Source organism: Homo sapiens, chromosome 7, assembly GCF_000001405.40.
Source record: "Homo sapiens chromosome 7, GRCh38.p14 Primary Assembly".
In the NCBI taxonomy this organism is placed as follows: Eukaryota; Metazoa; Chordata; class Mammalia; order Primates; family Hominidae; genus Homo; species Homo sapiens.
The window spans coordinates 39,401,556-39,425,961 of NC_000007.14; the positions used below are offsets into that span (position 1 = coordinate 39,401,556).

A 24,406-nucleotide genomic window follows, 5' to 3' on the forward strand; every position below is an offset into this window, starting at 1 on the left:
AAGTACTGATTTGGTTAGAAGAATCCCAAGGAACCAAGAGACACTTTTTCATACACATAGGAAAAGTCAAGGTCCTAATGTATGTAAATGAACTCAAAAGCTGCATTTGCCCTGCTGTTTCTAGGCATCCACGGCCGAGTCATTTCAAACCTTAAATGAAGAGTGAATAGTGATGAATGCGTTTATGAATATCCTCATTTGAAAACAATGACACCGTAGTCCCAGGGTTCTAAATTGAAAAGTTAGTAGCAAAAAAGAGCTGCTCCAAAATCCATACTCTATAAAATCCACATAGCTCATGAGGAGAATGATAGAACTATAGATCATGGGCAATTATGCTCCAAAGAAAGGTTTTGAGGCAGCTGCATTCATAAGTCCCTCTTAGAATGAAGACATAAACATAGGAATATAATACCATAGCTAAATTGCCTCATCATGCTGCCGTATTTTTGTACATGAGATTTATAATAATAGAATCATATAATCAGCCCATTTGCATGACAAATATTATGACTACTAATGTTCAGATTTAAGGAAACTGAATTCTTTTCAGGATACAAACTATGCATCTTTCAGAGAAAGAGAATATGGGACATGACTTAGAGAAAAACTTTCTTCCATCATGTGATACTATGTATGGTGACATCCATATGACATCATCTAAGGGTGCTCCCTAGGGAGACTTTATCAAAGCTTTTTTTCTCATCACCATTTAGTGTACACAGACAGCAAGGAGATGCACAAAGTATATAGATTTGGAAATATGGATTTATTCTCATTATGAGATGAGCACCAAATATCCATATTGATATGTAGACATAGAAATAAATCACTGTAAATCCTAAAGGAATTTTTTTTTTTTGCAAATCTTTTTCCTGCATTCCCTCACTATCAAATCAGCAACTGTGAGATGGACTCATTCACAATATTTTGACATGAGGCAGGAATTAGACTCCAAAATGGGTGCCCTTATGGAAACCTAACGAATGTTGCAAACTAAGGATGAGGAAAACGTACTATAAATAAGGTAATGTCTTCTCTTGCTGTCACCTGCTGACCCTGGCTTCAGACTCTAGGCACTACTTTCTCTACAGATGAGCTAATCCCATCAAATAGGACAGGCCCAAGACAAGCAGATGAAGCCCTGTTTTAAATACTTGTTGCTTATGCTCTCTACTCTAAAATACTTTTACACATTCTTCAAGCTGATCTTTTTTTATAAGAAAAAAAAGTAAAATAAAATTGCTCTAAAAATAGGGAATAGTTACCCATGTTCCTATTATTTCCAAAGAAAAAAGATATTTATGGAGGTGAGTTCTAATTCCAAGTTGATTAATTCAAAATCTTCATGCACAGTATAAACCATCAGAACATTAGCTACCATTTATTAAGAAAATAATGTATGCTAGGTATTAATCTAAAACTTTTGAGTGCATTATCTCATTTAATTCTCATCCTAACCCTGTGTGTGATATTCTTTTCATACCCATTTTACCCCTAAGAAAATGAAGTGTGGTTTACTTAAAGTCACAAACCAAGGCAGTCTGTTTTCAGAGCTGATGCCCTCAGCTGCATTAATGGGTGAGCAGGGGAATGTGAGGCTTGGAGCCCTTCCTCACTGGCATAAAACTACTTCAAAAAATTATTCTGTTGTTGTATTCTCTAAAATTCCAGGGAGGAGAAAACTGTCTTAAGATATCAATGCTTCTCTTAGTGGGATTTAGACTCCAGAAGTAGAACTTGATGTATTCAAGGCCCAGAATCCATTTGTATACAACATAAGAACTCTAGCCCTCTGCAAATCCTTCCTTTAGAAAGCTTCCACATTTATCAACAAGCATACACCAGAATTCATCATGTCTTTTAAGCTAGTCTGTTGAAAACAAGACCATGTATTACAGTCAGACTTCATTTGGGCCATCCTTTGCTGGTTAGGTACATTGGCAGTGAAAGATCTGAAGGCATAAACTTGGCAGCAGCTTCAAAATATCCAGTTGGTCCCGGAACAATAACATGCTCATTATGTGCATTTATTGTTCCTGGGTTCCCTGCTGTCCAAATCTACCCGGAGTCTCCAATCAAGAAATATCGATAGGAGCAGTGCTAACATGATATGACTGGGGACAATACAGAGTGACATGACCCGAGGTGATGAGAAGAACACGTGTGGTTTCCTGACCAACCCCTTCACTTCCCTCCCACATATTTTAATGCATATTACATCCCTGCCTTGGCAGTCACAGACAGAGAAGCCAAAAGATATGTATGTATAAAGTTACATCCATCAACACCACCAGTGGTCCTCCTGGAATGCCGTCAGCTTACAGATTGGCTTGCACCCACTGTCTGTGCACACCACACTCCGTGACTGTGGTTCTAGCTCTAGTTCTACAGGAACAGCAGGGCATCTCCCCAGAACCCAGACAACTTCCACAAAGACCTACTGGAATGACGGTAGGAAGTAAAAGAGTCATCTGAGTTGGCATTTGCTTCATTAAGAGGGAAAGGCAGCAAAAAGAGGACCAAATTAGGTTTTAAGCTAGGACCAGAATACAGAGGAAATAAACATTAAAAATAAGCCAAACCTATATATTTGTGGTTGCCAAGGCAGCCATCCAAAGCAGTTGAAATATATCCATTTCTGACCCCAAAACACAAAAGCTTAGAAGCCCACTTTTAAGTAGAGACTTTGTTTTGTATTCAGAATAATTGTTTATCCTTTATGCAATACCTGAATTTGCAGCAAACTGCATGGGACTATATCTGAACAACACACTAGTGTCCTAAATGTAGGAAATTCTCAATCTATGCTATTTGGTATCCAGAGAATAATTCTATAATTTCCTATATGAATTTTTGATCAACATAGATGTTAGGGAAATGCCTTGCAATTAATAAAAAATATTTTCTTTTCATTAAATATAAATAATTGTCTATCTTTTTCAGAGAGCATTCTGTATGTAGATACTTAAATTGTTCACCCAAAATTCATGGACCAAATCCATAGTCAACATTAAGATCCAACTGAACATAATTTAATCATTTGTTGAGGATGAAGAAGTTTATTTTGAGATATTCCTGAAACTCAAGAAATTCATTATGATTTCAACTTGTATTGCATGAAAGAAATGCAAACATGGCAATTGACAGATGACCTAAAAATATTGTACCAATGGGCAGTGTCTGTACCGGCAGTTCGGAGACAGTATTTCCCAAGCAGTCTTCTCACTTCAGAAGTTAAAAAAAAAAAGAACACATTATGAACTCTTCTCACTTTAGGTAGTCTACAAACAAGGAGAGTTACTTCTGGATGCATAGTTACCCCACCTATCCTTTAAAGACATACTCCAAAAATCAAAATCAAGACCAACCTGAATTTTAAATCCCATGGTGGTAATCTGGGATAAGACAGGGTTTCTCTTTAGGCTGATGAGTGAGAATTTTTTTCTCCTTAAAAAGAAAATCATTATTGTCTTTTAGGAGAGAGATAAAGGCAAAAGACATAAAGTAATCAACTTAAAATGGATTCTCATTTTTTTTAAAAAATGTGCTGGGTCAGCAGAATTACTGAAGAACAGTTGTGTGAAATTTAGTTATAAATGAATAAAGAAACCGATAAGATAAAGATACCACATTAATGAAAAAATAGTTATTAAATTCCTGTCCTTTTTGATGTTTTCTCTGATAATTAATATTTCCTTCTTCATAAGATAGTATAATCTCTAGGCAAATTTCCAAAGAAATTAAGAAATAAAATATGATTTGAAGGGAAGAAGGAAAAGAGAGAGAGAGAAGAGAGACTGAGACAAAAAATGAAGAAAGGAAAGTTTTAAAAGTGGCATTTTTAGAAGAGCTTCCAAGACTTGAATTAGGTATGGCATTAATTTTTTTCCACCTAGTCTTAGTCGTGGCAGGTTTCTGAAAAAATGCAGGAATTTCATGGATGTGGGAACTGGTGATGGAAAATGCATTATTTCCAACACAACAATTGTTGTACTTGAGAGAAACTATATGGGGAAAAAAATAACACCCTAGAATAAATACAAATGAAATTCATGTATCAAAACCAATACTGTGAAAATAGTTTAAATGTTTCTTGAATTTATATCTAGTCATTAACCTAAATGCAGATTTTAGTTGAAGCCACACTTCTGCCTCATGGTCAGAAGGCCTGAAAACCTGTGGCGTGGAAAATTGGCAGGAAGGAGAATATTGAATTGGTCTCCATGGAAAAACAGATTTTGGCAGCCATAACCTCCTCCCCGGCAGGTCTCTCTCCCACTCTCTCTTTCTTCCTCCCTGTTTCACTCTTGTCCCAGGAAAGAGGCTGAGGAAAGACCATGTATCAGCTACAACAGCAAGCAGTTGTCAATCTGACCATTCATCGAACAACCTTTCTCATTGGCATTGAATCCTGTGGTTTAGGTTAAAGCCCCAAAATTGTCGCAGCCCTAGACTCACCCTCTGAGAGCACGGAGGCCATAAATTCCATTTCTACTGGCTTTGGTTTCCTTCTCCCCTCAAACAAGAAAGTGGGGTGGAACACCTGCCTCGCTCGATGTCCCTGAAAGAAACTGCAATTCACAAATGGAAATGATAAATTCATTCTTAGAAATCCTAAAAATCTATTCCTCTCTTTCCCCGATCCCCATCCTGTTTACTCTCCTATTCTGTCTGGTTACCTCAGGGAAAGCAGATATTTCCTGAGTTTTATTTAGTCTAGAGGGCTTCTGCGAAATCATTTCTCCACCCCAGAAGGTCCTAACAGCCCACCTCACCCCTGAAGTTCAGGCTCGTTCCCTCCTGGGCTAGCCCTAAACCCAGACTCCACCAAGCTCCCCAACATTTTCCTTCCAGCCTCGTTTCCATCATCCCCCTACCCCAGAGCTTCCGGGGGAATGTTCGCCACGCCCCTCCGGTGGGTTCCAGGCCCTTTGCATGAGCGAATTGAGGCGAGAACTACCTCCCCAGAGTCAATGTTGTGTCCGTGTGCTGTGCCTGTGCCTCTCGGTGGTTTTCACGGTGATCTTTTCTCTCTTTGCAGCTGGTTAATAATCCACTAGCAAGTCAGGCTGCAGCGGCTGCAGCAGCCATGAGCTCCATAGCAAGCTCACAGGCCTTTGGCAATGCCCTCTCCAGTCTTCAGGGGGTCACAGGTCAACTAGTTACTAATGCACAAGGACAGGTGAGTGGGAGATGGGAACAAGAGTGCATTTTTATGGCAGATTGAACTCGGAAAGGAATTGAATTTCTTTTGCATGACAGTGATATGTAACCGCATCTATTCGAGGCAAATAAATAATGTTTACTAGCAATGTCAAGAATAGGAGAAGGGTTGGGAGGTGTTTCTATGTTTTAGAAGCAAGATTTTTTTCCTACCTCTAGATTGCCAAAGTTTTATTTTGTTTTTATCTCTGTACTATGACTCATGTTATGACCTTATATGAAGAAGTTACTTTGCATTACAGGGGGCATTCTTTCAAAAAGAAAAAAGTTACATCTTAAAAATAAAATGTCAGTTTTGCTTTTTTTTACTTTTCACTTAAGGAAAAACTTGGATAATGAGGGAAACTGATCAGTTTCCTTCCATAATTGCTGTGAGAGAGATATCAAAATTAGTCTTAACAAAGCCAATTTTTGAATGTATGGGAAGGTGATGAAGAAGTCTTGTAAAAGCAACAAAGAAAAGGGGTGAGTTAGAATGAAGCCAATTGCAAGTCAGCCCCATGGTCCCTGGCCTCCTGCCAATTCCTACGGAAGCCAGGCAACCTCTGGCATGCTTGTTGATTTACTTCAGTATGTCAGGGGTAGTAAACTTTCCTCATGTCATGAGAGAGGGTCTGTCCCCTCAACGCTGCTAATGTGCCACATAATGTTCATACTAGATCCTGGAAGAGCTTCAGACAACCCAATAAACCCAAAAGCTGCATAAAAAGCAAACGAGATGAAGCTGATGATGTCGGGGTACCCTCCATCTGAAGGCCTGTCTCAGAGCCCAGTGGTTAGGACACTTGGTTCTCCAGTGTGACTGATCATGAAATCCAAGGGAGAAGGAGCTAGCATTCTCACAAAGACTTTTCCCCCCAGCCTTATCTATTTGCCCAGCAGTGTGTTTGCATACTCCCTGCTTGGCCTGTTCTGTGGAGAGCAGGCATTTTGATGTCTTGAACCCTGTTTTTATTTTACATAAAGAGTAAACAAAGATGCATTATAAGCTAAATCGTCTCTGTCTACATTCCAGGGAAAAAAAGCTGACCTTGTTTTATTTCCTGGGCGGGTGTGGTATTGTCCCGTCAGAACCCCGAGGGCTGAACGATGGAGCTTGTCAAAGAGAGGCCCCATGTAATGAATCATCTTATCACAGGTGCACACCGCACATATTAAAGGAGGGTTGTATGAACACTGTGCCCTCTACAGTAACCTTTCAATGTCTGCTTTAACCCTTGTTCCAATCCCTTTTCATCAAAGGATCATTTTATGCAGCCGGCTCTAAATGGAGGCTCTCAAAAGCCTATTAAGATTTCTGGAGGGACGGGGTATTGGTGTAGAGGAAAAGTTGGTTTTAATGTCTGTAACTCATACTCACATCAGGTCGCTGCTTCGTAGAGCTGTGCCCAGAAATAGGACACCCTGCCTCACTCCTGCCAGGGAGCTGGCCCTTGAGATGTAAATTTTAGGAGTTCAAGATAGAAACCATATCCACCGACAGATATTTCCTTCTGATTTTTTTGTTCCTACATCTAAGTAAAATACACTGATATGCTCCATCACTTGAATACTTGTGATGCAGAAAATCCATTATTATTTAGAAGGAATTATTAGGAGTTTATTCTTCTGATGATTTAAGGGCTGATTACTTTGCCAATTAGATATTCTCAGGAGCTAGAGTTACTACACTTGCTTTTTTTGGCCTTTGCCAAACCCCAGGGATAGCTTTCCCAGCCCATAAGTACCCATTAGAAAATGATCTTCCAAGTAGAAGATTGATTGGTACTGTGCATACATTGAATAAGAGTTGACTTTAAAATATCTTATTTTAGAAACTGTGGTATGATCGTTTATTTGATGTGGCATACAAACCTCTTAAAGTGGAAAAAAAATTACATTCACAGAGAAATCAATAATGCCTACTCATGAAATCTTAAGTTTTAACACATGTGCCCAATGGGGTCATGTCTTCCACCTAGTGCAGAAACAGTTCAAGAGTTAAAATACTCAAACTTCCAGTGGATAATTGGCCATATTCATGTAGTGATATGGTTGGTTTTGTTTGTTTGTTTTTTGTTTTTTTGATGTTCAGAATATAAACCCGGTTATCTTCCCAGGAAATGGTGCATGTCCTACAACTGTTGGCACAGAGATACTTGTGTGACCCTATGAAGTGAGGTGAACAGCCTGTGGTCAAATTACACCAAAAGAGATAGGCAAAAATTTTGTGTTTTTTGTTTGTGTGTGTGCATATTCCTTTGGCTTATGTTAATGTGGCACAAAAGGTAGCAATACATTGGAACCAGATTCTTACAATTAGCCTTTCTCAAAATACCATGTAAAGTAGGATTACTCCACCCAGCCCATTTTCAATTTCTTAAAAATCTGCATAGCACTTTCCCAGAAAAGGTACAAAGAGAAAACTCTGAATATGTTTAAAGATTCTTTCACTTGAGTTCTTGACATCAACTATTGTTTACATTTGGAAGTTCACCCAAGAGTAATCACGTTAAAACCTAAACCTAAGTGTGGAAAGCATGTTTTACTCTACTGATAGTTTGGTGAGGTTAGGTCTGTTGAGAAGGGTGGGGTGAGATGGGGGTTCTCTTATCAGAAATGTTCTGATCCTCCCCTTCCTCTAGATTCTTTTGGCTACCCGGAAACAAAAAGCAAGATTCATTAGTTAAGACTTTGAATTCAGACCTACCTGGGATTGAGTTTAGGCCCCACCTCTTTCTAGTTTTATGATCTTGGAGCCATGACTTAACCTACCTAAGCCATAGTTTCATTCTTAATGTTCAAATGGAACCCACATGAGGCAGCCACGAGACATACCCAGTGTCTCACAGGGCCCACAGCCTATGCCAGTGGTGCACTTTTGCAGGGCAAGCAGTCCTAAGGCTGGGCAGATGTCCTCGGCTGGGCAGATGTCCACCCCACGTGGGGAGACATGCCAGAATCTTCCGTCAGGGTCTTGGCCCTCAACTCTCAACAGAAAGAAATCCCCCCTCCTGGGACTTGGCAGTTTTGCTTCCCTATCTTGGCATCTGACTCTGTTTCTGTTAACTGGATATCAGTAAATTTAAAGAGATAGGAAATCTCCATATATTGAAGAATTTTATTACTGCTCCTTTTTTTCCCCAACCAGTAGTTATTTTGAGCAAACATGGAGGAAAAACTTCAGTTGTTTTTGTAACTTTCTAACCCCACCCATTCGTGTGTCATTCATTCAAAGAACAGGCACTATTCAATAGAGTTATGAATTTGAACAGAAATACTGCATTCTAAGGTCATAGAGTAGAGGCCAGGCATGGTGGCTCATGCCTATAATCCCAGCACTGTGGGAGGCCAAGGCAGGTGGATCACTTGACTCCAGGAATTTGAGACCAGCCTGGACAACACGGCGAATCTCTGCCTCTACAAAAAAATTAGCTGGGTCTGGTGGCAGGCACCTGTAGTCCCAGCTACTTGGGAGGCGGAGGTTGCAGTGAGCCAAGATTGTGCCACTGCACTCCAGCCTGGGTGACAGAGTGAGACCCTGTCTCCAAAATAAATAAATAAAATCATAAAGTACATATCTTACCCAGGGATGTTAAAGGCTCTAAAGTTATATAGTACCCAACTCCACTCTGAGGTGGGAAGGTAGCATGTGTCCTCCTGAAATTAGTAGTCATGAAATTGATCATGACTATGGCATTGCTGAGAAAAACATCCTAGTTCTCTTTGTTTACTGGATCTGGAAATCATGCAAGTGTGGCAGGTGGGCAATGGAACGGGTGCTAGCTGTGGACTTGTTTGAATTCCAGGTTGGCCCATAACTGGCTCTGTGACGTCGGGCAAATTACTTGAGCTCTCTGAGCCTCGGTTTTGCCAATTATAAAGTAAGGATAATAAAATCTAAGCTCCTAGGTTATGAAGATTAAATGAGATAATGTGTGGGGAAAGCCTACCACAGTGCCTGAGTACACAGGTATTCTCAGTAAATGATTGCATAATTATCATCATCATCATTGTTAAGAGTTTTGACTCATAGTTTCCGGAAAGCTATATTTGATCTGGACATGCAGCAAGAGGCAGTACAGTGTACAAGCAAAAAGAAAGAGTTCTGGAGCCAGACTGCCATCCACCAGCTGTGAGACTGGGCAGTTTCCTTATTCTGTGCTTCAATTTCTTCATCTGAAAAATGGAGATAATAGTAACACCGGGTCCTAGGACTAAAGTCCTGAGAATGGCATCAGGCACATAATCATCACTCAATAATGCTATCATCCAATAAATGCTACCTATTAATCAAGATGGTATGTGTTTTCAGTTCATAACTGTGCACAAAAACCCATGCTGAAGTCTGTGTATGTGTGAGGAGTTTGAGAATGTGAAAATCTTAGTAGTAGGACATTAAGTTATTTTAAGGAAATCTTACCCTTATCTTGGATAGTTCGGCAGGGAGGAGGGAAAATGTGAGTGTATATATGTGCTCTTAACACTTATTCAGTGGGTATGTTCAAGATTTGGCAAGTAGATTTACTATCGATTTGTTCAGCTATAGAATTGGCTTCCCTGGTGCCCCTGGCAATATCTCCTTATTGGCGTTATTGCAGAAAAGTAAAAGCAAATGAAATTTTATTATATACTGGTGCTAAAGAAAGCATTCTACATTTTAACTGAAGCTCAGAATGTTTCCTGATGAAATTAAGTCCTAGACCACTGTGAAATTTTCTTAAGTGGCAGCAAGTAAAGTCAAATGCGTTTGTCCTTAAAAAGCCAGTCAAGGGGGGGGAAGTCAACTAAACACTATTATTTCAATGTATTAAAAAGAAGGAAAAGTAAAGAGACTTACCTAGTCAGGTTACTCAAGAACGCACATACATATGACAGCTGAGCAGAGTTGGTTTGGTGAGATTTGGAAGGATTTTCTGGATCTGTGTAGGATAGGGGCTGCCTCCTAAAATGACCACAAGGCCGTGATGAAAGAAAAGCAATCAAATGGTTCTAACAGTAGCCTATGCATTATGACCTAGAGGATATGCCTTTGATTGTACAAAACCATTGATTGCCACTCAACTCTATTCAAAAGCTCTAGGCTGGAGAGGGGTGGATGGAGAGGCAGGAACACCACCAGCATCATAGATGGACACATCAACTGGAAGGCCATCCCAATGTCATCACTTTCAAACATGGTTAAAAATACGTATCTTAGAATTGAAGCAACATGACGTTCAGATGGAGATGTTGCTCTGGGTTGTAATAAGACAAATAACATCTCCAGAGAGCAAGAGAGTAGCTAAAAGAATGGACTTTTATTGGAACCCAAACACTGTCACTTCTTAGTTGTGTGGACCTTGGATATGTTATAAAACCTTTTTCTGGGCCTCTGTTTCCTCACCAGTAAAACAGGAATGATAGGCTTCTCACATATATTTGTTGCGGGGTTAAATGTGGTAGAAAAAGTGCTTGGCACAGTGCCTGATATATGCCATAAGCATTTAATAAATCATGGCTATTCTGTTAGGATGAAAAACCAGCAATTAACCCTGAACTGTGGGTTGCTAAAGTAATTAGCCCATCATTTAAATACATGAGAATCTTTTAAAGCAAATCACTGCAAAATAAATGAAAATAAAGTTGTAGTAAATGCAAATCTCAGCCAAAGGATTGAGATACAATGAATTTATTCAGTGAGTGTTGAGTCCCTCTCTAGGTTTTATTAGATCTGCCAAAAAGAACTAACAAAGCCATAGCTTAACACATTTGTAAAATTATTTTCAAACCCCATGGAAAAGAAATATGTGTAATTCTGACTATGTGACTAAATAAATGAGGTGCATTAGAAATATCCTGCCAAAGCCAGTTGATCAGGAGTTTAGGGAGATTCACATATATTACTTTATTTCATTTTAAACAATGAAACATGTTAAATGTATAGAAAATAATTTTTGCAAAACAATACAAAAGGCACTCTTGTTTAACCACCTAGATATTAACAATTTTTTCCGTATTAGCTTCAGTTTTCTTGCCTTTTTTTTTTTTTTTTTTTTTTTTTTTTTTTTTTTTTTTTTGAGACGGAGTCTTGCTTCTTGCCCAGGCTGGAGTGCAGTGGTGTGATCTTGGCTCACTGCAAGCTCCGCCTCCCAGGTGCATGCCATTCTCCTGCCTCATCCTCCCAAGTAGCTGGGACTACAGGTGCCTGCCACCACGCCTGGCTAATTTTTTTTTGTATTTTTTAGTAGAGACGGGGTTTCACCGTGTTAGCCAGGATGGTCTCGATCTGCTGACCTCGTGATCCGCCTGCCTCGGCCCCCCAAAGTGCTGGGATTACAGGCGTGAGCCACCGCGCCCGGCCTTCTTGCTTATTTTTAAAAGAAACAGAGGGATAGGAGCCGCGGGAAGCAGCCACAAAAAAAATAATTAATTAATTAATTTTAAAAAATTTTAAGAAAAAATAAGAAACAAAACATGACAGACACAGCTGAAACCGTAGCACCTTCTTCTCCCATTCCCAAGGTGATTACCATGATAAAATGAACACTTTCCATGCACGTTCTGCATTTTTACTCCAAAATATTCATTGAAGAAGCAAGATACGAAATAATATGTACAGAATAATACCATTTTTAAATACAAAAAAGGCAAAAGAATATATTGTTTCTATATTTTGAATAAGTAAGAATCAGACATGTTTTGTTGAAAATTCAGAGTTGGTGTCTGTATGTTTTCTCACAAATATTATGAACAGAGCAATCTATTCATATCACCTTGCTTAACTAATGGTTTTGGCCATCTTTCTTTTATAAGCCAAAAAAAAATCTGAAAAAGCTTGTATTGTCTCATTTGCAATGTCATTGTAGCAAATTTTATTTTAAAAGGTGTAAAAATTAAGTCACGTTGTGTGAACTATATACTTCAAGTAGCATTTTTTTTTAATCGAATAACATTTCTTAAATCAGCTCTTTCTAGAGACTGGGAAATATATATGTTCATGGGATTAGTAACATTATAGGAATTTTACCCTGACTTCATCTGAGTTATAAAGATAAAACAATAAACCTCAATCTTTCTACTAACATATCAAATTTCCCCTTAGAGCCCAGTTGAGAGCTTTAGTTCCTCATTTCAGGAGAAACAGTTGCATTAATGCCGTTTTTCCCTAAATGTGCGCTTCGGGAAAATAACGAGCCCCTCAAGATGCCCCACAAACGACGGTCCCCTGGTCCGAGGAGCCGGGCAGCGCCGCGCAGCCGTCTCGCGTGGGACCCACCCGCGGGCGGAGCCAGGCGGCAGGGCTGCCCCACCGAGCTTCACCCCAGCAACCCCTTTAACTTTCTTAACCCTGTATTCCCCAACCGAACACTTCCCAGAGTTCACGCTGGCAGAGCCCACTTCAAAAAATGCTGCAGGAAGCCATTCACACTCATTCCTATCCACGTTTTTAAAAATGCGAAATAGTGATTTAAATCAGAACAGAACCTCTTCCAATGGGGGTTTCCTTTGCAACCGGGGCTTCGCGGTGATTTCTGTGCTGTTTTGAGGGCACACACCTACATAACACGTTTGCAGAGATAAGGGATCTCAAACTGTTCCCAAAAGTCCCAGGGACTCGTAATATGCAAACCGAGGGCAAATGAACGTGGGAGGATCCGAGGCGCTCGCTGAAGGGGCTCTCCTGCAGTGCCCAGGCAGAGGGAGAGTGGAGGGGGCGGCTGTGGAGTGAAGGGCGGAAGTGCCCTCGCCGTCCTGAGGCCTGGGACCCTCTTGATGGTAAATGGCGCTGTTGAGCCCCGATGCGCAGGGACTCCGCGGGCGGCGGACTTGACAGGAAGCTTTGCTGCGGGGCGGCCCAGCTGCGGACGCGCGGGACGTCAGGGCCCCAGCAGAAGCGCCGGGCTGTGCGTCCTTAAGACTGCGGGTGCGGCCCCGCCCAAGGTCGCCCCGCCCTCCATCCTTCTACCCCGCCCCCCCACCACATTTCTGAAATGAAAGAGTTATCAATCGCTTTAGGGTTAACTTAAAGAACTGAAAGGAAAGCCCTCTCTGAACTCTTTCTTTCTACCCTCCTTCCCCAGCAAAACTCAGCAGTGCAGGCTGCCATGTACCATAAAATGGGTGTGCGGGAATGCACAGTGAGAAATCTAGTTTGCAGGATTCTCTCTGAAGATTGAGCTAGAGAGGACCAAGTTCTCTCTCACCTAAAGCAGAACTGGGATGCTGTCACTTTTCCCACTTCTGGCTGCTGCAGCGTTTTGTTTATCTTTTTAAATTTTTTGTTTGTTTTTGTTTTTTGAGACGGAGCTTCACTCTTGTTGCCTAGGCTGGAGTGCAATGGCATAATCTCGGCTCACTGCAACCTCCACCTCCTGGGTTCAAGCGATTCTCCTGCTTCAGCCTCCCGAGTAGCTGGGATTACAGGCGCACACCACCACGCCCAGCTAATTTTTGTATTTTTAGTAGAGACGGGTTTCACCATGTTGTCCAGGCTGGTCTAGAACTTCTGACCTCAGGCGATCCACCTGCCTCAGCCTCCCAAAATGCTGGGATTACAGGCGTGAGCCACCGCTCCTGCCCCATCTTTTTAATTTTTATCCATGAGTATTTCGTTTTCCTGGGAATTGGGAAACGTTTTCTTGTGGAGGCTCCTAAATCTAGTCTGTTGGCACATCCTGTCTGTCTAAAGGATAGGAGAGGACCAATTAACTAATGAAGCAACCTAAATAACAGCTATAATTCTAAACAGGTACTACGTAACAAGATGCCATTTACAAACAGCTCCCTCAGAGCTAGTCTGACATATTAGATCTTTCTTTCATGAGCATAGTTTACATTCCAATTAGTGCCCACTTATGGCAAAATACTGTAACGAATGTTCACATGACTTCTTACTGTGTGCAAAGCTCTTTAACTGGCTTAATTCTTAGAGGAGTGCTAGGCTTTAGCTGAATGTTCCTTTGGGCCAAGTGACTTCCAGAAAAGAACAATGAAAATAATATCTCCCATGCATTAAGCCTTCACCCTGGGGCTGGTATAATCTATAATCCTAACAGAGCAGTTCATGGTAGGTTTGACTATCTCAGCTGCACAAATGAGCAAATTCTCAAGACATCAAGGGTTAAGTGACTCCCTGGGATAACATCTTCTGGAAGTGGCAGAACTGAGATTTGCGTTCCAAGTCCATTCCCATCCTTCCATATCACCCTGATTTTCTCGGGTTCAGAGTCCTGGTTCATTTCCTGGCTGTTCCGCAGACATGTCACAAACTCCAGAACCTTCATTTCTCCATCTGCAAATGGCAATTGTAATTCTTGCTCTGTCAACCTCACAGATTTCTCTCGAAGGCATACACACACACACACACACACACACACACACACACACACACACACACTAGAAAACTGTAAAGAGATGTAAACCTTACCGAATAATTACAGGGTATTTTGATTGGTATTTTTACTATGATTATTTTTGCTAATCAAAGAAACCAGACAGGTAGTGTCAGGGAATTGTCTAAAGCAATGAGACATTCTTGAAAAGTCTGTATCAGATCTCCACTTCTTGCCAGAGAAAATCGCCTTAAGGTGTCCATAGGTGTCCTGGCTTCCAGTGAGGCAACCTAGCAATGAGGAAAGAAATGCATGGTGAGTGCTTCGTATGGGCACTCATCAAATGAGCCTTTCAGAGCTCAATAGAAAACCCTATCCCAGTGAATCTTCTGTTGTGCTGAAGATTGCAGCTGAAGATTGTTGTCCCACACAGCACAGTGATGTTAGAATTGGTTGAGCTCCTAATGTGGCAAGACCCCACACATTTCTAGATCCACCCAGAATGAGGTAAACCCTTCCAAAGAAAAAGAGAAATATCGAATGCTGTATTTTGAGTCTTCTTACTCTGTGGGATTGATAGAGCAAGAATTACAAGAATTCTTTTGAGTCTAAGACACCACTGATTTTAAATTACACTTAAAGTCATACCAGTGATTTTTGGAGAGGAGGAAAGAAAATACCACATTTAACAAGTATATCAATTGTTAGAAGTAGCCTAATTTCAAAAATGTTAAAAATGTAAAAAAAAAAAAGAAGTTATCATTGAAATGTTGTAATTAAGGGGGATACTATAATTGAGGAAATATGTTATTTATATCCTGAACCAATTCCAGTATCAATAAGACCATACAATGGGCTGTTGATGATGGCTCCTTTTTAGTATTTAACAAAAAGTCAGGGATGGGAGTGGAAGCCATTTATATCTCAGCTTTTCCAACTATAGAATGAAAATTAAACTTGATTTGAGTAGAAGGAGGGTGGACAAGAAAAGGAGGAAGTGCTGAATTTTGATTTAGCGTCCTAGAACAACATCAGTTCCTTCTGCAAACTATGTTTATAGTTAAGATGAGCATTATCGGAGAGGAGAAAACATTAAATTCACATGTGAGCGACATTAAACTTTCAAATAAACATTCAGTATATCATTTACCACACCATATGCCCAATAATGCACCCAACTTTCTTATTGGTCTGTGAGCTGTTGACATGATGAATACTCTTAAAGATGTCATCAACTCACAGAGCCAATAAGAAAGAAATGAGAAATAAATCAGAGTTAGGTAGGAATGGAAAAGTCACAACTTACAACAGTGAGAGGAGCCAGATTAAGTTCAAATGTAGGCCTTTGAATGACCCAATTGAATTTAGTGCACTAGCCATTACTCCAAATTGCCATTTGTCTCATCAACTAAGCTTTCCTACCTGTATAACTAACAATATAAATAGATCCTGAGAAGATGTCATCAGGTGGAGGGTTCAGAATACTACAGTGAAGTCAAGATGTGATGCAGCTTTATATTTGTAAGTAAATGCTATTAATCAAACAACACAAAGATACACAAACAGGAAAAAAAATGTTGCACACTCCCTAGATGAGATACTTGCCAATAGATACAATAAACCAATCTCCTTAGAGTAACAGAGATGGACAGTGCAAATGTCCATGTACTCACATGAAAGGTGGCCCAGGATAAAGAACATGGACTTTCAAATCAGACAAATCTGAATCCTGACTTCATCTGCAAGCAGCTCTGCCCCCGCTGGCAAGATATTTAATCTTCCTCAGCTAAAGTTATCTCTTCCATGAAATGACACTAATATATTCCTCTCAAGTTTGTTAGGAGGATTAGTATTAATAGCAATAATAAATTAATATGTTGCTGCCACTAATTGAGCACTATTTATGTGCCAAGCAGCTATTTATGTGCCAAGCACTTGATATATTACTTTTTCTTTACTACCACACACAATATGGTTTATTCCCATTATACAGATTAAGAAACTTCCAATATCACCCAACTAGAAATGGCTGGATTCAAACTCAGTTATGTCTAATAGAGATTGTTTTTAATCACTGTACTGTAATAATAATTTAAAGTATTTTGTTTTGTTCACTGCAGCTAGAACCAAATGGCTAGAACGGCATCTGGCACATAAAGACCATAAATACAGTAATAAAATCTGTGGCCTGAATGGAGTATTTCATATATGCTAATATGCTAGTCAATAAGCATTTTTGCATAAATTCATCATTTCATTTCATTCTCACAATGATTTTGCACTATCATCTCTAATTTACAGCTGAGGAACTGAAGGCTCAGAAAAGTTAAACAGGTCAGGCACGGTGGCTCACGCCTGTAATCCCAGCATTTTGGGAGGCTGAGGCAGGCAGATCACTTCAGGTCAGGAATTCGAGACCAGCCTGGCCAACATTGTGAAACCATGTCTCTACTAGAAACACAAAAATTAGCCAGGTATAGAGGCAGGCACCTGTAGTCCCAGCTACTTGGGAAGCTGAGGCAAGAGAATCACTTGAACCCAGGAGGCGGAGGTTGCAGTGAGCTGAGATCGCACCATTGCACTCCAGCCTGGGTGACAGAGTGAGACTCTGTCTCAAAAAAAAAAAAAGAAAAAGAAAGAAAAGTTAACCAACTTTCCAGAGCCATACAGTAAATGATAGAGCCTGGATTTGAGCCCAGATCTGGCTGCTTTGAAGCCCAGCTTTCCTCTGAAGCAAAGCTGCTTTCAGCATAACGTGTGTAAGTGCCTAATACAGTGCCTACCATATAGTAGTCATTTCATAAATATAGTGCTCTCTTCATGTGTGTGTGTGTGTATATATATATGTATATATGTATATATGTGTATATATGTATATATGTATATATATGTGTATATATGTATATATATGTGTATATATGTGTATATATGTGTATATATGTATATATATGTGTGTATATATACATATATATGTATACACATATATACACATATATACACACATATATACGTATATGTGTATATATACACATATATACGTATATATGTGTATATATACACATATATATACGTATATATGTGTATATATACACATATATATACGTATATATGTATATATTTTTTAACCCACTCAGGGTGGCTGATCTAAAGTAGAGTCTGTTTGGGTTTTTTGCTTGTTTTTTGGGACTGAATCTCACTCTGTCGCCCAGGTTGGAGTACAGTGTTGCCATCTCTGCTCACTGCAACCTCTGCCTGCTAGGTTCAAGCGATTCTCCTGCCTCAGTCTCCTGAGTAGCTGGGATTACAGGCACGCACCATCACGGCCCACTAATTTTCGTATTTTTTAATAGAGATGGAGTTTCACCATGTTGTCTAGGCTGGTCCCAAACTCCTGACCTCAAGTGATCCGCCCACCTCAGCCTCTCAAAGTGCTGGGGTTACAGGAGTGAGCCACCATGCCTGGCCTAAAGTAGGGTCTGTTTAATATATTGAAGTTTTATGTGGATATGCTTTTAAGTGGGTCATCCAGCATTACTATATCTCATGAAAATGGCAATTGTTTATTTAGTTAACTCACTTCAATTGTTTTAACAGCTAACATTTTGGGGTTGTTGTAAAAAGTAAAAGTAACAAAGGATGTTAAATCCTTGGCACTCGCATCTGTCTTGAAACCCATGGTCCCGCCAGCATGCAGAGAAGACCAGTTTGATGATTTTGAGTCAGCTGCCCACACATTAGTGACCGGGTAAGCTGGACAATCTTGTTTTCTTCAGATTAGCAGCAGCAGCAGCAACAGGCTAGATGATGCCTAGCTTGCCTCTATGACATGACTATGTGGCTGCTAGACATAATAGCATTCACTTTTCTCCGTAACAAAATGTTGTAATTTATTTAATCAAAAGGCAGGGCCACAGAGATATTACCTGCTAGGCTCATTTAACAACTGTTGATTTCCTCTGATGGTCTAGAATGAAAACATTCCCATCTGCCTTCAGTAAATCTGCAAGTAATGTCAGCAAACTATCCTAGATAACCAAAAGGAAGGAACAAATAACATGGACAAAACCAAAAATCTGTTTTAAATTCACATGGAATTTGAAGATTTTCTTGCAAGTTTAGAATGGAAGCCTTCTTTATATGAGGATCTTCTCAGTATTACTGGGTTATAAAAGAACTATTTAGGATTTTTAATACAAAGGGTAACATTACTGAAAGAAAGAATGTTTATGTTTAAAAGGTGATACACAAATTCCTTAAATGAACACAAAAGGAAATGACATAGTGTGCTACTCCAGACTCTGAGAATTCATTTTGATTTCTGAGACCATAAAATCATACACATTTCTAAATATTTGAAAAGTAGAGTTTCTGCCCCTCTAGGCTCACATGGAGATAAGGCAGTAGAAATGGGAATAGTATCTATGGTTTTGCACATCTAGACTGGTTCCTGAAATCCAGAACCTAGGTGAATCAGAAAGTACTAAAAACTTACCTTCTCAGAAACCAAATATGATACTACAAACATTGCTTAAAATGCTCCAATTTTTTTAGCAAAGTTAAATAGATTTTTTTAAATTCTGAGTTATGGATTAAGTTAATGGTTTTGTAGCTAAACATGTCAATGGATCTTTGATGTAAGTATCATTATTCCACCTTTTCCATTACTTAATAATATATAGGGCTAGTCTATGAATGATATCATCTGGCAAGGCTGTGAGACATGTTCCTGACAAGGCTGTACTTTGAAACTAACTTTTGAGATTAAAAATGCCAAAATTCATGCTATCAGCATAAATTATAAATTATTGAGCTTAAAACAGGACAGTCAGAAAATCATTACATTTATCGATTGGTTTATTAGCAATAAGAAATCATATTTCACAAGGACCAAATTTGAAGTGCCTTGCAAATACTCTTTTTCTGAGGGACATTTAAAGTAGGAATTAGAAAACTATGAGAAACCACAATTGGAAGAGTATATCCAGCCCTCTTTCCATACATCTATCAAAAACTGCCTAATCATTAGGGATAAGGCTGCAGATTGTTCACCTATGAAAATGGGGATGCAATTTTACGAGAAAAACTCATCAGCGTAATTCTTATGAGTTACGGTCTTTGTTGTGAGAAATGAGAAATTCTGTGGTCTCACCCTAAAGAACATTAAAAAAAATTACTAACAGGAAATTGAAAAAGTAATATATGTTTGAGTGATGAGGACAACTTTTTTCTGATTGAATAGATAGATAAATATTGCATGCAAGTATCAAAATACATTTAATTTTGCCACAACAATGGATATTCTCTTCACAGAAAGCATATGAATCATCTTGGACTCATGAAACTGAGTGGTGATGAACAGATGCATCTTTAATGGCACTTGGCACGCTTCGTTCCCCACCCTCTTTTTTTCTTAGAGGCTTGTTTTGTTGTTTGTCCTAATTTAAATTCAGCTTTACAGCTTGTATGTGCTCACTGAGTATAAACACAGCACAAAGGGATGCTAAATTTGTACAGTATTTTCTTAAAGCAATTGCCAAACATTTTCTTCACCAATTCCTGTTGCTCCAAAAAACTTGGAATATTGGAGATCACTGGTCCAAATTTAGGGTTTTGTTGTTGTTGTTTGTTTGTTTGTTTGCTACCACTGCTGTAGCTCTTTTTTTTCTCATTTGGGAAGAAAAATAATATAAACATTTCATAGGTCTAATGGTTTATTTAGGAATGTTTACTAAAGCTTCTAAGGACCAAAGCTGAGTGAAACTAACAGGTGTTCTCCCAAGCAATAAATAACTTTAATCTGATTTAGTCACTTAATCTGGCATCAACAGGCAGAAGCAGAAATACTTCTGCAAATTCTAGATATTTTTGCTGGTATTAAAACTTAAAGTTCAGGCAAAGCCATATAAAGGCTCACGAAGTTGGTCTTTCCGCAAAATGATGGCTTCACCACAGTTGTGCTTCTCTTTTAAGGGGGAAAAAATGTTTCAGCAATTTGACAGTGTTGGCAGCTACCAAGAAAATGAAAAGAAACCATAGTTTAATTTGTAGTCACTGGGGAAAAAAGGAAAGAATGATGAAAAGAAATGTTTGCAGTTTATCCATAAAAATGTGTCTTTGTTTTCTAGTACCTGGAACATTCTTAAACTTTCTAGTGGACAAATATAATCAAAACGTAAAACCACTAAGAAGAATTGGAAATTGAAGCATTAGATCATATTTACAAATATTTTCATTTCCTCCCACTGAATAAGTAATATTCAAATAAATAAATAAGTGAGGAAAAAAGAATAAGTAAGATGCTAGAAATGGAAACCAAGGCCACAGTGGCTTGAAGGAATTCATTTTTATGCGATATCTCATGTGCCCTTGTTATAAATAACTGTGGGTGGAAATGTCCACTCACTTTTATTCAAATTAGAATTCTACAGATAGGAAAATTAAAATATATCCACAGATGGGAAGTTTTTGGGAGCGTGATGGAGCTGTGCCATTGTTTACAAGTAAGAAATGCATAGGATCCTTGTGATGGACTAAAGATGTGCAGAGGTTATGACTGTGGTGCGGCCACTGAGGAGGAGAATTGTGCTATGCAAAGTTGAGGTCATTTTCCACCATGTGCCTGCCATGTCTACTCTCCAGTGGGAAATCAGTGGCTTCAATTTATGTCCTTAGAGACCAGAAGTCCCAGTAGATCGACTTCCCACCTACACCCCATAAAATAACTCAGTCCGGATTGTTACCTGACTTACGTAGGCATTTTGGTCATTTTCCTTCCTACAGAGTGGCTTTAAAATGAAATTCAGAATAGACAGATATTTCTCGGACTCTCAAGATCTAGAAAACTGCCTGACAGTGCCATCAACAATGGTGCAGCAACATCATCTTCCCAAAAAGTTCCCATCTATGGATATATTTTAATTTCCATATCTGTAGAATTCTAATTGGAATAAAAATGAGTAGACATTTCAATCCACAGAATAAGGTCATATTTCAATGAAGGGTTAACTCGGCTGTCCAGCAGCAAACACATCTGAGCATGTAATTGGTCTTCAAAAGGAGAAACTTTAGGAGATCACCTAAAGTCATTGACAGTTGCAGCAGTTTCCAGGAGGAGAAAAGAGCCTATTGAACTCTTGTCAACAGTGTGGGTTTCAGTTTTATGTAAATTGCTGCCATCTTGACTGTCCTGCCTACAGGGAGCCTAGGTTTTCTTCTCCACTGGTGGGCTGCTGGTGCCTTAAGAGAGGATTTACAGAATACTCCTACTAATCCAAAAGAGAGTGTTTACACAAATTCAGATGGCTGGGTAACATCCTGGTCTTCTATAGTGGGAACTAATACAATGTGGTATGCCCTGCCCCCATGCCAGGCACACAGGAGGCCCTCAGAAAGGATTTGCTGAGTGAGTGAGTGAGTGAGTGAGTGATGAATTTGTACATGAGCAAATGCATGAATAAAACAACCTCTTAGTTTTGAAGCCATCACAGAATAAAGCAGAGGGATTCTGCCAGTGAAAATGCTGCCACTGTCTATACTGGCGTACATTTAATATGTAATTATTAATATTTGTACAAATATAACCAAGCTTATATACTTAAAGCTTCGAGTATATGTTAACCATAAGCAATACATTTCCCAGGAGAAGATAGGCATGAAACAAAATGGCAAGTTCTCTGTCCATTTCCAAAAAGATGCCTGAAATTCCACTTCCCTTGCCCAAACAGAATTACATATAGTGCTGAGCATCTTGCTTATCTGGCCCTTTCTGGGAGAACTACTTTGTATCCCTAAGTATTTCCCCTTAGTTACAGAGAAGGCCAGTCAACGTTGATTCCAACATCGTGCCTGTCTTGGTCTGTTCTGGCTGCTGTAACAGAATATGGTAGACTGGATGGCTTACAAACAACAGAAATATATTTTTCATAGTTCTAGAGGCTGAGAAATTCAAGATCACAGTGCCAGCAGATTCAGTGTTCAGTGAGGACCCACTTCCTGGTCACAGACAGCTATCTTCTTGCTGTGTCCTTACATAGTGGTAGGGACCAGGGAACTCTCTGGGGTCTCTTTTATATGGACACTAATCCCATTTGACCTAATCACTTTCCAAAGGCCTCACTTCAAATACCATTATATTGGACTTGAGGTTTCAACATGTGAAGTTTGGGGGAACATAAATCTTCAGTCCATAGCAATGCCCAGCTGAACCTTGACAATAGCTGGAGATAACATTTTGCACAATTGACTCCCCCATCTCCTATTTTCATCGTCCTACTTTCTAGTTGAGTAAAAAGTATTCAGAGCAGTAGAAAGAAAAAAGTACCGTAGAGAAATCAATTAGCCTTAAGTAATCCAGAACTTTCCAGTATGCTTTTCATTATGCCAATATATAATTCAGATATAATTTTAAAACATGTGTTCGTGGCAGGCACCTACACCGTGTTCAAAAAAATGATACATTTCCTAGACACCGATTGCTGCCCACCAATCACTCCAGGAATAGACCAAGAAGGTGGTTACAATGACTCCTCACTTAATTCTCATCTCAATGTAATATAATCTTGTGTAAATTTAATTTACTCTTTTGATTATATTCAGGATCAAATCCTTTTTCTATCAATGTTTCCTAAAGCTCGAGTGGAAACCCAGATAAAAGAGAACATGGCAAATCTCATAATTACAGTAAAATATGTAACCCCAGATACTATGCTGCATCTTAAAATTAAAAATTTGAGGAAAAACAAGCACACACAAAAAAAAAAAACACAACACCTGCCTCCAGAGTGTGGAGTGTGCTAGATTCAGTTGTAGTATTATTGTAGTAGGAACTGTCAACTGTTCAGAATGGGGCCGAGGCTGCTAACTTTATTTTGCCAAAGGACCCGAGAAATATTCAAGTCCGATAAGAATGATCATTGTATCCACTGAGTTGACTCCTACCTGGGAGACGTGTCAATTCCCTGAGATGTGGACTTTCCTCTACGAGGTTTGCTGCTCATGGGCTGCATAACTAGGGTTCAGGCCATACTCTATATGCAAATTATTCCCATAAAGCACTTTTGGAATTGGCATTATTCATCCTGTCTTAACATCATTAAGATCTGATAGAATCTCTTCTCCCTGCTTCATCATTTGTAATTGGAAAACACAGGCAAACATACTAGATTACTTCTTCCCCAATAACTACACAAACAAAAGACTGTTCAAGAGCGTGTTTGGGAGTTTGGTATTTAATTAAACATAATAGAGGAAATGAAGAGCCACAAAAGCACATCTTTGTTATACCTTGTAAATATTTCTGGTTACTAATGGGAATAACCTTGCTAACCTAACTGTCAATGACCATGTCAAAACTTCTCCTGACTCTTCTGACCTTTTTTTAGATATCATAACTATTGTCCCTGTTGGTAGGAATTGACTGTTCCTGTTATTAAGTTTAAGGTTTCAAAATCTTCAGAGGAACTTCAGCAACTAATGCATTCGAATAGTATACACGTTTAAGTCAGCTGAAACTTCAACAATCAGTATTATAAATAGCAGCCGCTACCTCTCAGAAATAAACCAAATTCATAGTTTATGGGAAAATATATTCTGCTCACAATTTAAAATGCTGTACCTCTGCTAGCTTCTTAAATTATCTCTTCTCTCTTTTCCCTTGTCTCCTTCTTGCCTTCATTTCTCCTCTGTTTTTCAAGCATTCTTAGTTGACAAAGTCCTGATGCTCATTATGACTCATAAAATGTCTTTTCTGTGTATTATTGGCCTTAATATTTGAGAGCAAGGCAGCCCCTTTCAGCCTTCTCAATGGTGATGTTCCTCTGCCCTGGAACGAAAGCTCAGTGGCTTCTTGCTTCTTGACTTCTCTGGGTATCTCAGGTAACACAATCTTG

General features: G+C 39.3%; 1 protein-coding gene and 2 long non-coding RNA genes across 7 annotated transcripts in view, besides 1 other annotated feature; 1 reads left to right on the forward strand and 2 right to left on the reverse strand.

Annotated features, from left to right (window-relative positions):
• POU6F2 (POU class 6 homeobox 2) overlaps positions 1-24,406 on the forward strand; it is a 490,693-nt gene that overhangs the window by 423,647 nt on the left and 42,640 nt on the right. For 3 of the 5 annotated variants that reach the window (NM_007252.4, NM_001166018.2, NM_001370959.1), the window contains one exon: positions 5,045-5,185. The exons of the other annotated variants lie outside the window; for them this stretch is intronic. In NM_007252.4, the coding sequence (NP_009183.3) occupies positions 5,045-5,185 (141 nt within the window). The remainder of the gene's footprint in view (positions 1-5,044; positions 5,186-24,406) is intronic. 5 annotated transcript variants of the gene reach the window in all.
• On the reverse strand, positions 3,043-4,791 carry POU6F2-AS1 (POU6F2 antisense RNA 1). Its single transcript, NR_046711.1, has 4 exons — positions 4,779-4,791; positions 4,462-4,564; positions 3,372-3,450; positions 3,043-3,228 (listed from the first exon to the last, which is right to left on the reverse strand). It is a non-coding gene; the product is annotated as a POU6F2 antisense RNA 1 (long non-coding RNA).
• Positions 12,936-13,065: an enhancer, noted in NCBI's record as "active region_25875". NCBI's record gives its function as "activates an Ori minimal core promoter by ATAC-STARR-seq in GM12878 lymphoblastoid cells {active_cell/tissue: GM12878}" and the evidence as "EXISTENCE:reporter gene assay evidence [ECO:0000049][PMID:35858748]".
• LOC105375238 (uncharacterized) overlaps positions 14,725-24,406 on the reverse strand; it is a 58,176-nt gene continuing 48,494 nt past the window's right edge. The window contains exon 3 of the long non-coding RNA XR_927186.2: positions 14,725-14,809. This is a non-coding gene — a long non-coding RNA (uncharacterized LOC105375238). The remainder of the gene's footprint in view (positions 14,810-24,406) is intronic.